The following is a 14461-nucleotide window of genomic DNA, read 5'->3' as shown; positions in this document are numbered from 1 at the left end:
CTCTCAGGATGCTGTGGAGTTGCACCTTCTGCAGGATGAAGAGGTCTTCAGGAAGCCAACAGTGCCATCATGTATCTAAGACCCTGGAGAGGCAGATGCAGCCTCAGGACCAGCTGGTGAGTTGGATGCAAACCCCAAACCTATACTTTTCCCTTCTCACACGAGAAGCACAAACAGGCACAGGGTCAGGGCAATGTACCAAAGGGAGCCTTCAATGTCTCCCTTTAAAGGATGACGATTTAATGCCCAAACTCAGAGTCTAAACAAAATCCCACACACCCTGTGCGCCTTGGGAAGCATGGCTGGAATGCTGACTGGGCTTGGCTGCCCCATCCGTGTGCATGTCTAGACACTCGCCTGGCTTCACTGTTTCTAAGCTGCATTTCACTTTCAAGCCCTCTTCACATTTTACAGAAATGTGAGTTCCTCCTCTTGAAGGCCTACTGTCATCCACAAAGCTCCTTTTTTACGGGCATCCCATTTAATGTAAGTCACATTTTACGGTTCTCTTGCATAAAATGCATTTGGAGAAATTTGGGGGCTGATCTGGCAGGTGCTGCAGTTTGCTCAGGAAGCTGGAGAACAGAAGAGAAGGGCAGCGTGGCAGCAGTGGAGCGGGGCAGCAGGGATTTTGCTGCACACTCTGGAGAGGGACTACCTGGTTCAAACTCCACCCCACTGCTCACGGGCTCTGGGATACCGGGCAAGTTGCTTCTCCTCCTGTGTATCTGTTTCATCTTCTCTTTAGGAAGAATGTCTTTCCTACTAGAGATTAAGAGTCACAGATGCCAGCTGGGCTCAGCGGCTCACGCCTGTAATCCCAGCACTTTGGGAGGCCAAGGCGGGCAGATCACTTGAAGTCAGGAGTTTGAGACCAGCTTGGCCAACATGGCAAAACCCCATCTCTACTAAAAATACAAAATTAGCCAGGCATGGTGGCAGGCACCTCTAATCCCAGCTACTCAGGAGGCTGAGGCAGGAGAATCGCTTGAACCCAGGAAGCAGAGGTTGCGGTGAGCCAAGATCGCACCACTGCACTCCAGCCTGGGTGACAAAGCAAGACTCCATCTCAAAAGAAAAAAAAGAGTCATAGATGCCAAACTGTGTGGGTTCCCATCTCAGCTCTACCACTTTCTTGCTGAGACATCTTGGGTAGGTTCCTTGACCTCTCCATCCCTCGGTTTCCTCATCTATGAAATGGGCATTATTATTTATGGTACCCATAAATGTGGAGATTACATATTCATATACTTGGCTTAGAATTTAGTTTATCTAGTGCCTAGAACAATAGCTGGCTTAAAGAGGTCAAATGGTATTATCATTATGACCCTGGAAATGAAGGCTTGGATTGTATTTAAGTTGGATCCATTCCAGTGATGACAGCTGTGCTAACGTCACCTCTGGTGGCTTTGTCCCCAAGATTCGAGATTACGGTGAGCCCTTTCAGGAAGCAATGTGGTTGGACCTGGTTAAGGAAAGGCTGATTACGGAAATGTACACGGTGGCATGGTTTGTGCGAGACATGCGCCTGATGTTTCGCAACCATAAAACATTTTACAAGGTAAAGAGCATTTCCTGCTTCCTTTTTGCGTCTTTTCTACTTTCCCCTAATTTCTGGGACAGCAGAATTTTGCAAGTATTACACTCAGTTTCAGCCTGGGGAGAGCTCAAACAAGACAAGGATTACAGAAAAAAAACCACCTCGGCATTCCTGGAGGCAAGGAGTGAGTGGCAAAAAGAACAGCAAGCAGGACAGGGGAGGGATCTCTGGAACAGAAGCTGAAAAAAACCATGCTCTGTTCCCAGATCGGCAGCTCGCTCCCAACGAGAGCAGTAAATGGCATCCAGCCTCTTTGTTCAAACTGGAAGGAAAGGCAGTTTATGCCTACATTGTTCTTCCTGCCTCAGAAATATGAAAATAAATAAGTAAACAACATAAAATCAATTAAACTTCCTGGATAATCAGGCTTGCATATTTTTACACATAAATTTCTCATTGGACTCAAACATCTGGAATTGCCTTCAGATCCAATGTTGGTTTCATCCTCCTTTACTAGGGAGGGACAGCTGGTTGAGCTATCCTGCAATCCCAGACATTTGTAACTTTGGTTTTTCCTGATTTTTATCCTCACTTGTACAGATATTTCTTGGGAGGTACCTAAGGAAGATTTTCATCTCCACCCAGCTTCCTTCCCTTCTTCCATGCCAGGAGTTGGCATGTTCACAAACCACAGATTGTAAACTGGTACCCATTCATGGAGCTGCAGGGAGAAAGGGTTGACCAGAGAGCCACTCAGTGCCTGGCATATCCGTAGTCCTGGAGAACAGAGGGTCATCCTTCCTCAGCGAGTGGGCTTCCAAGAAATGCATTTACAAAAATTGTTAAGCTATTTTGCATCATGCTCAGATTTGCCATGATCAAAACTAACCCTTCAGTCTAAATCGCCTGTCAGGTGGAAATTAACAACCAGCTGGAGTCTCATGCTTTTCAACATTTTAGTAGCAGCATCTCCCCATCCATTCTGCCTTACTGCTGGGCTCCTAAAAAAATAAGAGTGAGGCTGGGCATGGTGACTCACATCTGTAATCCCAGCTTTTTGGGAGTCCGAGGTGAGGGAATCATCTGAGGCCAGGAGTTTGAGACCAGCCTGAGCAACATAGCAAGGCCTCCTCACCCCGATCTCTGAAAGAGAAAAAAATGTTTTAAAACTTTGGGCATAGTGGCATGTGCCTGTAGTTTCAGCTTCTCAGGAGCTGAGGTGGGAGGATCACATGAGCCCAGGAATTCAAGGCTGCAGTGAGCCATGACGGTGCCACTGCACCACAGCCTGGGTGACGGGGAAAGACCCTGACTCAAAAACAAAAACACAAAAAAAAGTATGAGTGATTTGATGGCTGTAATCCTTCATCCTTCAATGTGTTTGTTTGCTTTTTTCTCTTTCAGGCTTCTGACTTTGGCCAGGTAGGACTTGACTTAGAGGCAGAATTTGAAAAAGATCTCAAAGACGTGCTCGGTTTTCATGAAGCCAATGACGGCGGTTTCTGGACTCTTCCTTGACCCTGTTCTGTAAAGACTGAAGCATCCCCACCTCAGGATTCAGCTGATGGGACCCTGGCTTGGACTGTTGATTGCCAGTGAGTCTGGGATGTAATTGGCTGCCCTCAGGACCCAAACCCAGACACTTCATAGGATTATCACACCCTCCATCTTTATTCTTTCTTTTTACCTTTAAAAGTCTATATCTACACTAAAAAAAAAAAAAATTAATACTTCCTTAATACCATCAGATACCCCATCATAGTTCACATTCTCCCCACTGTCTCATAAGTCTTTTTAGAGTTGATTTGTTCAAATCAGGATCTAAACAAGTTCCACACACTGCATTTGGCTCTCCTGTCCCTATGTCTCTTTTAAGCTATAAATTGTCATGTATTTATTGAAGAACTCAGGGTTTTGGTCCTATTACATTTTTTGCAATCTGGAATTTTCTGGTTGCATTTTCTTAGTGGTATAGTCCTCTCTTCCTCTCATTTTTTGTAAGCTAGAAGTTAGATCTAGAAGCTTGCTTTAACTCAGGTTTTGAGGGGTTTGTTTTGATTTGGGGGTTTTGGGGCACATGCAGGCTTCACAGGGGAATTTAGTATTATTTTTTATGTTAAGGTTGGCAGCAGGTGCACGTGTTATCAGCCTGATCATCTATCACCTGATGGTTTTAGCAATACCTAAATCCGTGATATCATCAGAGGTTGCAAAATGATGAGATTCAGGTTTTTTTTTACATAATTATTGGTCAGAATTATTCTGCAAATAGCTTCTCTTTAACAGTATTCGGTTACCTTGAAATACAGGTTGTACAAAAAATAGGATAAATGCTTGTTTTTTTATTTAGCAATGTTCAAAATAATGAATTGATGTCCCAATATCCTCTAAAGGTAACCAGGGATTTTTTAATTTAATTATCTTGAACCCACATATTTAAATATACGTAGCATGCTACAAACCATTGCAGTTAATACCTTTATTGATGCTTGAGTTGCCCACTTTTTCTTTTTTTTTTTTTTTTTTTTTTTTTGAGACAGAGTCTCACTCTGTCACCCAGGCCGGAGTACAGTAGCGTCATCTTGACTCACTGCAACCTCCTCCTCCTGGGTGCAAGCGATTCTCCTGCCTCAGCCTCCGAGTAGCTGGGATTACAGGCATGTGCAAGTTCCCCACTTTTAGTGAGAAACTCCTCAATTTGCCTCCTGAGTTGTTTTGAAATGACCCCAGAACTCTTTGATGGTGTATTAGCTATCTATTGCTGTGTAACAAATGACCTCAAAGCTTAGCTGCTTAAAAAGAAAAAAACATTTTATTGCTCACTATTCTGTGGATCAAGAATTCAGGCATCATCCATGAGGATGCTTCCCTTTGCTCCACATGGTACTGGCAGACCCCATTCATACTTGCACACTGTCACTTCTGCCACAATCTATTGGTGAAAGCAAGTCACAGGGACAGATTCAGAAGGAGGGAGAATAGACCTTACCTCTTGATGCGATGGGTGGCAAAGTCACATTTCAAAGGAGAATGTTGCTTGGGAAGAAACATTGCTGCTCCCATCTTTAGAAGCAATCTACCATAGTTCACCCTCTGGCCACAGTAGTTCACATCTTTCCCAAATGCAAAGGACACTCCTCTCCCCACAGAAGTCTCACTCTCTGCAGCATTGGAACAAAGTCCAGGACCTCCTTATCTAAATCAGGTTCAGATCAGATAAAGCTTCTTCGGGCTGGGCACAGTGGCTCACACCTGAAATCCCAGCACTTTAGGAGGCCGAGGCAGGTGGATCGCTTGAGTCCAGGAGTTGAAGACCAGCCTGGGTAACATGGCAAAACCTCATCTCTACAAAAAAAAAAAAAAAAAAATCTTTTTAATTAGCTGGGCAAGGTGGCACACACCTGTAGTCCCAGCTACTCAGGAGGCTGAGGTGGAAGGATGAGCCTGGGAGGCAGAGGTCGCAGTGAGCCAAGAATGCACCACTGCACTCCAGCCTGGACAACAGAGACCCTGCCTCAAAAAAAAAAAAAAAAAAAGGAAAGAAAACAAAAGAAATAGGCTCCTCAGGTATGGTTTATTGGGTGCAGCTCCTTGGGTGCACCTCCTCTTGAACTAGAGGCCTGTGAGCTGAAAAATTGTTTCTTCCCTGCTGCCAACAGTCAGTGATGAAACAGGGACTGAACAACTACTATAGACACTTCCATTCAAACGGGGAAAAAGGAAGCAGCAGTCACTCATTTATAGCAATTCTGAAATCCAGTCAAGCACATGTTGCTAGTTCCCCCTAATCCCAGGGCAGGAAATTTTCCTTGATACATGATTTATATGTATGATACACCTCTAATTCCCATCCCATCCCATCCTACCCCACAGGCTTCTTCCTTGTCTTCCTCGGTTCTGTATTGGTGTCTCCCTTCTCCAACAGTATTATTTACTCACTTGCTCAATCCCCAGGTACAACAATAAAAGTTAACAGAATTTTAACACTCAGATCACTATGAAAAACAAACTAAGTTGATTTCTAAATTTCTGTGGAGTTTATTTTTGTTTGTTATAGATTTAATATACCATTGCAGAGGGTATTTAATGTACCATTGCAGAGGGTATTTAATATACCATTGCAGAGGATTTTACATTTGTATTTATAAATGAGATTGCTCTATAGTTTTTACACACTGTCATAGTCAGATTTACGGTTATCCTACCTCGGTAAAATAACTTGTAAAATTTTCTACCTTTTAATATATTCTGGAATAATTTATAGTGTTTTAAATTAACCAAAAGTGTGTGACCCAGAGTTCACTGGAGAGACAGTGGTAACCACATTATCTGCTTTCTTTACGGTTTTCAGGCTATGAAGATATTCTGTTGGTTTTTGAGACAGCTCTGCTTTTATGTTTTTCTAAGAAGTCATCTATTTCATTTGTGGTTAAAAGTAATATAGGTGGTCTGCCAGGCGCAGTGGCTCAGGCCTGTAATCCCAGCACTTTGGGAGGCTGAGGCGAGTGGATCGCGAGGTCAAGAGATCGAGACCAGCCTGACCAACGTGGTGAAACCCCGTCTCTACTAAAAATACAAAAATTAGCCAGGCGTGGTGGCGGGCGCCTGTAGTCCCAGCTACTCAAGAGGCTGAGGCAGGAGAATCGCTTGAACCCGGGAGGTGGAGGTTGCAGTGAGCCGAGATCCCACCACTGCACTCCAGCCTGGGCAACAGAGTAAGACTCTGTTTCAAAAAAAAAAAAAAAAGTTATATAGGTGGTCTTATTTCTGTCATATTTTAATATTTCTCTTTTTAATGTTTTAATGTTATTTTTGTCTATTTTTTTTCTTCTGCCTTCTATTTTGGAAGGCATCGTAACGGCTTTTAGTTCCAATATTTACCCATAAGTTTTCCCAATGCATTTTGACTTATTTTTTTAATGTCAAAGTCAAAAATAAAATATCTGTAATGTGTCACATACTTAAGGCAATGCGTTTATCACTTTGATACCTCTCAGCTCCCTTATTCCTGTCTTTTCACTCTCTTGAAATACAGACATGAATTAGTATTAATTTTTTTGCTTTTACTCTATAATGTTTATTCTATTCAATTATATTATGTCATTATTTGTTAGTTTCACATTATGTAAATTATTTGTCATGTCCTATGTCATATAAAGTAATTCAAAAGCAAAAATTAAAAGTGTGTGTTACGTGATAACCTGTATTTTTGAGAACAGTATTAATGTGTTTCTGTTTTCACTGTTTAAGATTCCCTGCTGGTCTTTTCTTGACACGACTTCTCCATACTTCCTTTTTGCTCTGCCTTTCAGTCAACTGAAGTGTGTCTTTAAGTAATTTGAAAAGAATTACATGGATGGTATGTTTTCTGATTCACCATATCTTAGAATGTGTTCTATTGTTTTCATAAATTAATAACATAATATATAACTTATCATAACTTCTCACCTTCAAAATTGATTTAAACTTTGTTCCACTGTCTTTGGGGATTTTATTCTACAACTCTGAAATCTAAGTCCAGCCAGAATTCTGCCTCCTCATTAGTGTGTGGAAACCAATGATATTTCCCCTATTATCCCAATAGTTCTATATTTAGTTATTTTTGCCAGGATAGGTTTCAAATATAGTACCTTTTCATTCATCATGCCTGGCACACTGAGCCCTTTCGATATACATGCCTGGTTATTTTTGCAGCCCCATTAAACCTTACTGATCCATTTGTCCTGGGCTCACTTTCAAGAACATCTATTATCTACAGGCTATCTGCTCTCTGTTCTCCCTATTTATCATTTTTTAAAAATGTTTCAAGAAGCACTCCTCGTCTTAGGCCATTAGTATGAAACTGATATTAATATAATTGCAATTTGATAGTATTTAAACCTATTTTTTAGCATGTTAATAATGCTAATTGCTATTTTTAAACAAAAGTTCAAAGGACATAAACTTTTCTCAACATAATGCTTTTCTCAAGACAAAAATTGCAAATCATTACAACTTACTAAATTGTCCTGGTCTGTGTTTCTGGCTTTTCATTCTTAGTCTCCATGGAGGAGTAAGACCATCAAAAACCGAGGCCCTGCCCCATAAGGAGGCAGAACCTGTCCAGCAGGCCCCCTTCAGCCTCCCAGTGAGGAACTGGGAGTAGAGTGTGTTGGAGTTTCCATTTAGGTACCCAGTGTCACAGACTAATGAACAGAAAATGTATAGAGATTTCTTTTGCTCCTATTTCTCAGTGTTTTCACAACAGTGTGAACTGTGAAATAGATTGACCTCACCTATGATCCAGGAAAGGGCGGAGGCAGTTTGAGCACTGGCTCAAGAAAAGCATATAATAAAGTAGAATTCCCTTCATTGTATGGAAAGACAACAAATATGGCCATAAAGATGGCCACTCCTGGTGCCATTTTGGAGTGAATGCTGAGTTCTAGAGATGATGATTTTATCAGCCTAGACTTTAGACTTCCAAATCCTTCTGAGAGGTACACTAAAGGTTCCCATTCCTAGCATAAGCTCAATGCATTATGATAAAAGATTCCCCTCCCTACCAGTTTACCAGCAGCCAGGATTGCTGGGTAAAAAAATCTTATATCCATTCATGACCTAACCCTGTCTTCCGTTCTCGCATTGGTAAGCTGATCCAGGTCTGTCTGTCTATCATCTAATCATGGCTCTGGGTTTCTCTGTATCTTGGGCAGGGGGTGGGGGGTACCCTAAAGAGTCATTTATTTCTTTCAAGTTGAGACTTTCAAACACTAGCAGTTTGATTGCCATGACAGCCAAGACCCCTATTCCCGGAACACTCTCTTCCCTTGCTCCTGTTTGTTGCTGTACTGCTCCCCTGGTTTTCAAGTGATTTCTGCCTGCGAGAGCAGGGTTTGGGTTATTCTGCTTAGCCCAGCTGGTCCTCACCTTCCCCCAGACTCTCTGAGCTGTAGGTGCAGGATTTGCCCTCCTGGTCGTTTCCCACTGCTCAGGCCTCATCCACGTTCAGCACGTACCTCCTTAGATGTTAAAAACTCTTAATGAACCCACCATCAGTGATGCCCCTGCAGACAATGCCAATTGCCTCTCTCCAGGGACCCATTCCAGTCCTGCACCCAGGCCATAATAACATAGGCGTTAAAAAGAAATTATTTAGGCAGATAGTGAGGGTAAGGAAGTCCTCGCTGAGGTTTTCCTTTTAATGAAAAGCAGCCCCCAAGTCATTTCTTTTCTAACAAAAAGCAGCCTGTAAAATTGAGCTGCAGACATAGATAAGCAAGCTGGAAGCTTGCACGGGTGAATGCCGGCAGCTGTGCCAATGGGAAAGGGCTATCTGGGAGCCAGGCATGTCCAACACGGTGGCTCCATCTTCCCTTTTCCTTGCCAACCACATGTACAGTAAGGAGCAGACAACATGGTGCTGACCAAGTAGAAAACCCATTTGCATAATAATAAGATTAGGGTGGGGTGGCCAACTTCCTCCTGTGCTATGTAAATGTCACATGTGGTCCAACCAATCTGTGGGCCCTATGTAAATCAGACACTGCCTCCTCAAGCCAGTCTATAAAATCCGGTGCATTTTGGCGTGGGCTGGAAGACCCACTTGGGCACTCCTCTCTCTCTGCAGGAGAGTTATTCTTTTTTCTCTTTCTTTTGCCTATTAAACCTCCACTCTTTCTTTTTTTTTTTTTTTTCTGAGACAGAGTCTCGCTCTGTCGCCCAGGCTGGAGTGCAGTGGTGCAATCTTGGCTCACTACAAGCTCTGCCTCCCGGGTTCACGCCATTCTCCTGCCTCAGCCTCCCAAGTAGCTGGGACTACAGGCGCCCACCACCACGCCCGGCTAATTTTTTGTATTTTTGGTAGAGACGGGGTTTCACCATATTAGCCAGGATGGTCTCTATCTCCTGACCTGGTGATCCACCTGCCTCATCCTCCCAAAGTGCTAGCATTACAGGCGTGAGCCACCGCGCCCGGCCAAACGTCCACTCTTAATCTCACTCCAGGTGTGTCCATGTTCTTGATTTCCTTGGCATGAGACCACAAACCTCAAGTATTACCCCAGGTGAACAACACTGCTTCAATTTCTCCCATCTGATCCAGCTGGGTTCCACTCTTTCCTGAACCCTTTCCTCCCCAACTGGCCAGGGAGCCTGCATCAGCTCAGGACTACCTTCAGGTTATGATGTGGGAGGTTTTACATGACTCCAAAAGGTTGCAAAAATGGAACAACAAAAAAAGCTTTCTTATCAGGAATGACTGGAGGAATTACATGTAAAAATACATTCCCCCCTCTAGCTGATAGCAGAAATTCCACCTTGGAAGATTCATTCTTAGAAACTGGGGAGACATTGTCTCCTGGTGAAGTGCAGCCTCCCTCAGGAGAGGTAGACTTCATTGGCATCAACATCTGGAGTGGGTACATTTCTCAGATGCTTTCCAAGCTCTGGTAGAGCCAGGCCTTCAGAGCAAGCTCACATTCTGCAAGTAGTTATGGGAGTCGGTGGGCGGGGTCAGTCCTGGCAGGTGCCTTGGACTCTTTGCTTTCCTGCCCTGAGCCCTGAGGACCCTGACTGCTTCTCTTTCGTCCCAAAGCTGCTCCAATGGAACTCCTCCCCTCTTGAAATTAGGTGTGGGGACTATGGGATTCACAACTCTCCTGTCATTCTATCTCTTCTGTAATTGTGACTTAGAAAAAATGCACAGACCGTATTCATTTTAGCAGTCATTCCCCTATGAAGTGACATGTGAAATAATGAAATCAAGAAGGCACTGTCTTGCTCTCTTCACCTCTGGTCTCAACTGGGCCATTTGAATCTCCAGAACCATCTAGAACAAGGAAGACCACCTGGCGAAGTCCCTCCCAGCACAGGACTCCAGGCAACCTGGCACCAGTCATCCCCATTGGACAAGACCAGAGCTCAGATGCATTGGCAGAGGGGACACTTTTCCCCTTTAGCAGCTACTGGCGTCTGATCATTTACAGAGAGGTTGGGTAGAACCCTGAGGAACCCATGATAGCCACTTTCCAGAAGACAGCCCGGGGCCTCAAGCAAAAACTCAATGGTGAGGACAGTCACCCAGACCTGGACACAAGGCCCAAGTATGAGCAGAAAGGGGTGGTTACACGTCCAGGATGTCAGCTGATACTGAAGCATCTGACACACTGTTCTGAAACAGAGTCTGTTGGATGTGGAGTTAAGGTTTTGACTCACTAAATGCTCTGCCCTAGGGGATAAAGTGGAAATGTCCTTATTTCGCAAGGGCAACAGCGAGGTTTCCAGCCTTCAGGCCCAGCAGTGGTTCTCCAGCTTCCACAACCCAGACCTTAAGCACTGTGGTTGCAGCATTCAGACCCCGGGCCACAACTGTGCCCAGCTATCAAGGCCGGGATTGAGGGGAGCTGACTCAGCTGCCCCCATGACTTGGTTCAGAATTGACTCACGGGCCTATGAAAGTGCTCTGGGGGTACCTGTCAAAGCTTGGTCTTGGCCAGTGAAAGATAAGCATTCAAGTTAATGGGCATATGTTAGTACTCACCAGCAGGAAAAAACTAGAGGCTTCAGTGCATCCTAGGATCCTGGGGGAAGAATTGTCATGTCCTCCTAAGAAGGCAGAATTGGTCCAAACAAGGGACAGTGAGGAGGGCAGGGTAAACAAGCCACTCCTTGCCACCTACAAGTGCCAATTTGCCCTAAATTTTCCCAGACAGAGCCCACAGGTCAGATTTTGATGTTTCTGTATCTGGACCATGACCCAGTTTGTATTCATAGCCAATCCCTAATCTCATCATCATCTCAGTTTCCAGTTCCTCAAAGAAGTTTACCCTTGAACCCCTAGGCCTGGTTCTGGCTCTGTGGAGGGCTCAGGCAGAGCAGAATGCATACAGAGGCTTTCCCATTCTCCCAGGATGGGCACAGGACCTAGCCCTGAGAGCAGCAGGCACCCTGGACTTCTACAAAAGTGTGCCATAGGCCAGGCACGGTGGCTCAAGCCTGTAATCTCAGCACTTTGGGAGGAGGCGGGTGGATCACTTGAGGCTAGGAGTTCAAGACCAGCCTGGCCAAGATGGTGAAACTCTACTAAGAATACAGAAATTAGCCCAGTGTGGTGGTGTACACCTGTAATCCCAGCTACTTGGGAGGCTGAGGCAAGGGAATCGCTTGAGCCTGTGGCGGGGTGGCGGAGGTTGCAGTGAGCCGAGATTGCACCACTGCACTCCTGCCTGGGCGACAGGAGACTCTGTCCACCCTCTCCCTACCCCACAAAAAAAAAAAAAAAAAAAAAAGTGTAGCATGCTGTTCAACCACCAGAGGGCACTGTGGGCCCCTCCAGAGACGGAAAGGAATTGAGCTATTAAAGCTCCTGCAAGGACAAGGAACTAGCAGAAAGAAGTAGTGAAGGCTTTGAAGGGGAGGAAGATGCTCTCAGTGGCTCCTATTTCATGCAGATGGAGGAAAACCAACCAAGAGCATGCGCCAGGTCCTCTCCAGATGAGACTGGCAAAGACGAAGCAGCAGGCAGTCACGTTTAGGCACATGCTTGCGAGGATTTCCTTACTGTGACAAAAGGTCCCTTCTGTTGTTTGTCACAAGTGCAAAACCTCACAGCTAGCATAATGAAACAACTGAGATGCACTCAGTAACGTGGGCTGGAAAAGGATCCCCAGTTTTTCGTTTCATAGATTGGAATCTGGTAGGAGGCCCGCCTGGGGATGGCCGGCAGCAGGCAGAGACCTGGATTCTAGATCCTCCCATTTGCAAGAATGTCCCAGGTGACCTCCTCTCGGGGATGCTAGAGGATGAGGACAGGGTGAAGAAGCCAGCCTACTGGGGGAAGGGGGGTCTTTGGGACCAATCAAGAGTGCTTAGAGAGGGGTCCTCTGAGATATCTGGACACTGACCGCTTCCCAATGAATTGCCTATGGCCCGCTGCTTCAGAATCACAGGGAGCTTGCCTAAAATGCAGATTCTGGGATGTTGGCTCTGGGTGGGAATCTCTAGGATTCAGGCCCAGGAATCTGTGTTTTTAACCAGTTGAACAAGTTTTCTAGGTGATTTTTGTTTGTTTGTTTTGTTTTGTTTTGCCACAATTAGGTTTGAGATCCACTGCCCTACGACTGGTCCTTTATCTGACTTAAACATTTGACAAAGGAGCAAATCTAACTAAGGTATCTGTGGTGTGGGCAGCAGTAGAGCCTGCAACTTAATCACAAGAGCTGTCCTTGTCCTGTGAGGTGACAACCGAGAGTTTATTGTTTGGTTGATTGCTTGGTTTGTTTAATTGTAATGTTTTGTAGTTTAATTGTTTATTTATTAACAGCTTTCAGAAACAGTAATAAGAATAGAATGTGAAGCCAACTGCAGAAGAAAAAACTAAACTGAGAAGGGAACTAAATAAAAAAGCAGCTGGGCAGATGAGATTTGGGGGTGCAGGGAGCAAGCATGTGGATGGAGGGAGGAGATTAATATTGAGCCATGGTCATGAGAACTTCAGAGAGAGATGGATGAGTGGAGGTGGCCCACACGGTATTCTCTTTTAGTGTTAAAGTCTCACCAATGCACCACGACGTAGCAGTCTCTCGTTGTGACGTATTACCTGGAGTTCTTTGTCTCATGACCCAGAGAATTAAGGAGTGTGGACACAAAAGGTGAGATTGGAGCAAAAGTTTTCTAAGCAAAAGAAGAAAGCTTTCTGCCATGGAGAGGGGGCCCAGAAGAGGGTTGCTGTCTTTACAGTTGAATGCAAAGGCTTTTATAAGAAACTGATGAGGGCTGGGCATCTCATTTGCATAAGACACAAATTTCTGTTAGCTCCACCCCATCCTCCAAGTGTGCATGTGGGCCCTTAGCTTAGTGACTCCATATTGCTTTGTTCCCCTTACTGTACATGTGTTACGGGACAGAACTTTCCACTGCAGGCGTGTCTGGGTGAGTCACCTGTGTAGCTTTTCTTATCTATGTGGCTGTGGGCGTGTCTTAGGCAAGCCCCTCTGTGCAAGTTGGCTGTTCTTTTGTTTGAAAGAATTTAACTGAGGGCCCACCCTAACTGCCTGCCTGACTGGCTTCTTCCTTTCTCCTCTCTCGGTAGGTCATGGATTGGCTCCTGCTTTGACACCGCCTTGAGGGACTTAAGATGTTGGCATGATTTTTGAAGCTTTTTATTGGATATTGGGTTGATATTATATTTGAACATGAAGTCACCCTGAGGTGTGCTGTCAGGTGGCCCCATTGTATTTGGATACAGGCAGCTGTGAAATGCAGGGGAGCAGTTAAGAATATTAACAGGTCCCCAGTTGAAATGCTTTAATGGCAGTGGTACATGGCCTGTTCCTACCCCACCCAACACACGTCACAACCCCAACCCCTACCCCCAAAGCCTATTCTCAATATGGCAGCCAGACTTAGCCTGTTAAGATGAGTCCAATCCTACCTACTCCACCTTCAGGGTGAGAGCACCCCCTCTGAGGCCTGTATGAGGGGCTTCTCCCCTCCCTCGTAGGTCTGCTGCACCCACTGGCCTCCCTGGAACCCAGGCCACTCCTGCCTCAAGGCCTTTACACCAGCAATCCCCTGGGTCTGGAGCTTCCTCCCCCTGGAAGTCCCCACAGTTCACCCTCACATCTTTAATGTTTTTGCTCAAATGTCCCTGGGGGAGCCTGCTCCAACCACCCCTAATGCTGCAACCTCCCACACCTGGCTCTCCTGCTCCCTCTCACGTGTGTCCTTTCTTCCCCCAAAATATCCCATTTATCATGTTCTAACACGCAACATGATTTGTTTATTGTGTTTGGTGTCTGTCTCTTGTCACTATCATGTAAGCTCCACAGGGACAAAATTTTTTATCTCTTTTGTTTGTTGGTATATCCCTACCGTCAAACTCATCAGCGCTTAATACAGATTTGTAGAATGAATGGATGAATGAATGAATGCCTCTAGGCT

At 44.9% G+C, this 14461-nt stretch overlaps 1 protein-coding gene across 14 annotated transcripts in view, besides 1 other annotated feature; it reads left to right on the top strand.

Moving 5' to 3' along the window:
- The window catches only part of SP110 (SP110 nuclear body protein), a 60451-nt gene extending 53455 nt beyond the window's left edge, over positions 1 to 6996 (top strand). For 5 of the 14 annotated variants that reach the window (XM_011511090.4, NM_001378442.1, XM_017003968.3 and 2 more), the window contains 4 exons: positions 8 to 116; positions 554 to 703; positions 1421 to 1561; positions 2945 to 6996. In XM_011511090.4, the coding sequence (XP_011509392.1) occupies positions 8 to 116; positions 554 to 703; positions 1421 to 1561; positions 2945 to 3058 (514 nt within the window). In that variant the 3' untranslated portion in view covers positions 3059 to 6996. Of the gene's footprint in view, positions 1 to 7; positions 117 to 414; positions 487 to 553; positions 704 to 1420; positions 1562 to 2944 lie in introns of all 14 variants that reach the window. The other 9 variants (XM_024452850.2, NM_001378446.1, XM_047444121.1 and 6 more) reach the window with 4 other exon arrangements.
- Positions 11787 to 11856: a silencer, noted in NCBI's record as "silent region_12407". NCBI's record gives its function as "represses an Ori minimal core promoter by ATAC-STARR-seq in GM12878 lymphoblastoid cells {active_cell/tissue: GM12878}" and the evidence as "EXISTENCE:reporter gene assay evidence [ECO:0000049][PMID:35858748]".

The sequence above is a fragment of the Homo sapiens genome, chromosome 2 (genome assembly GCF_000001405.40).
Source record: "Homo sapiens chromosome 2, GRCh38.p14 Primary Assembly".
Lineage (NCBI taxonomy): Eukaryota > Metazoa > Chordata > Mammalia > Primates > Hominidae > Homo > Homo sapiens.
The sequence above is the reverse complement of the archived record's forward strand: the minus strand, read 5'-3'. Positions and strand labels throughout refer to the sequence as shown.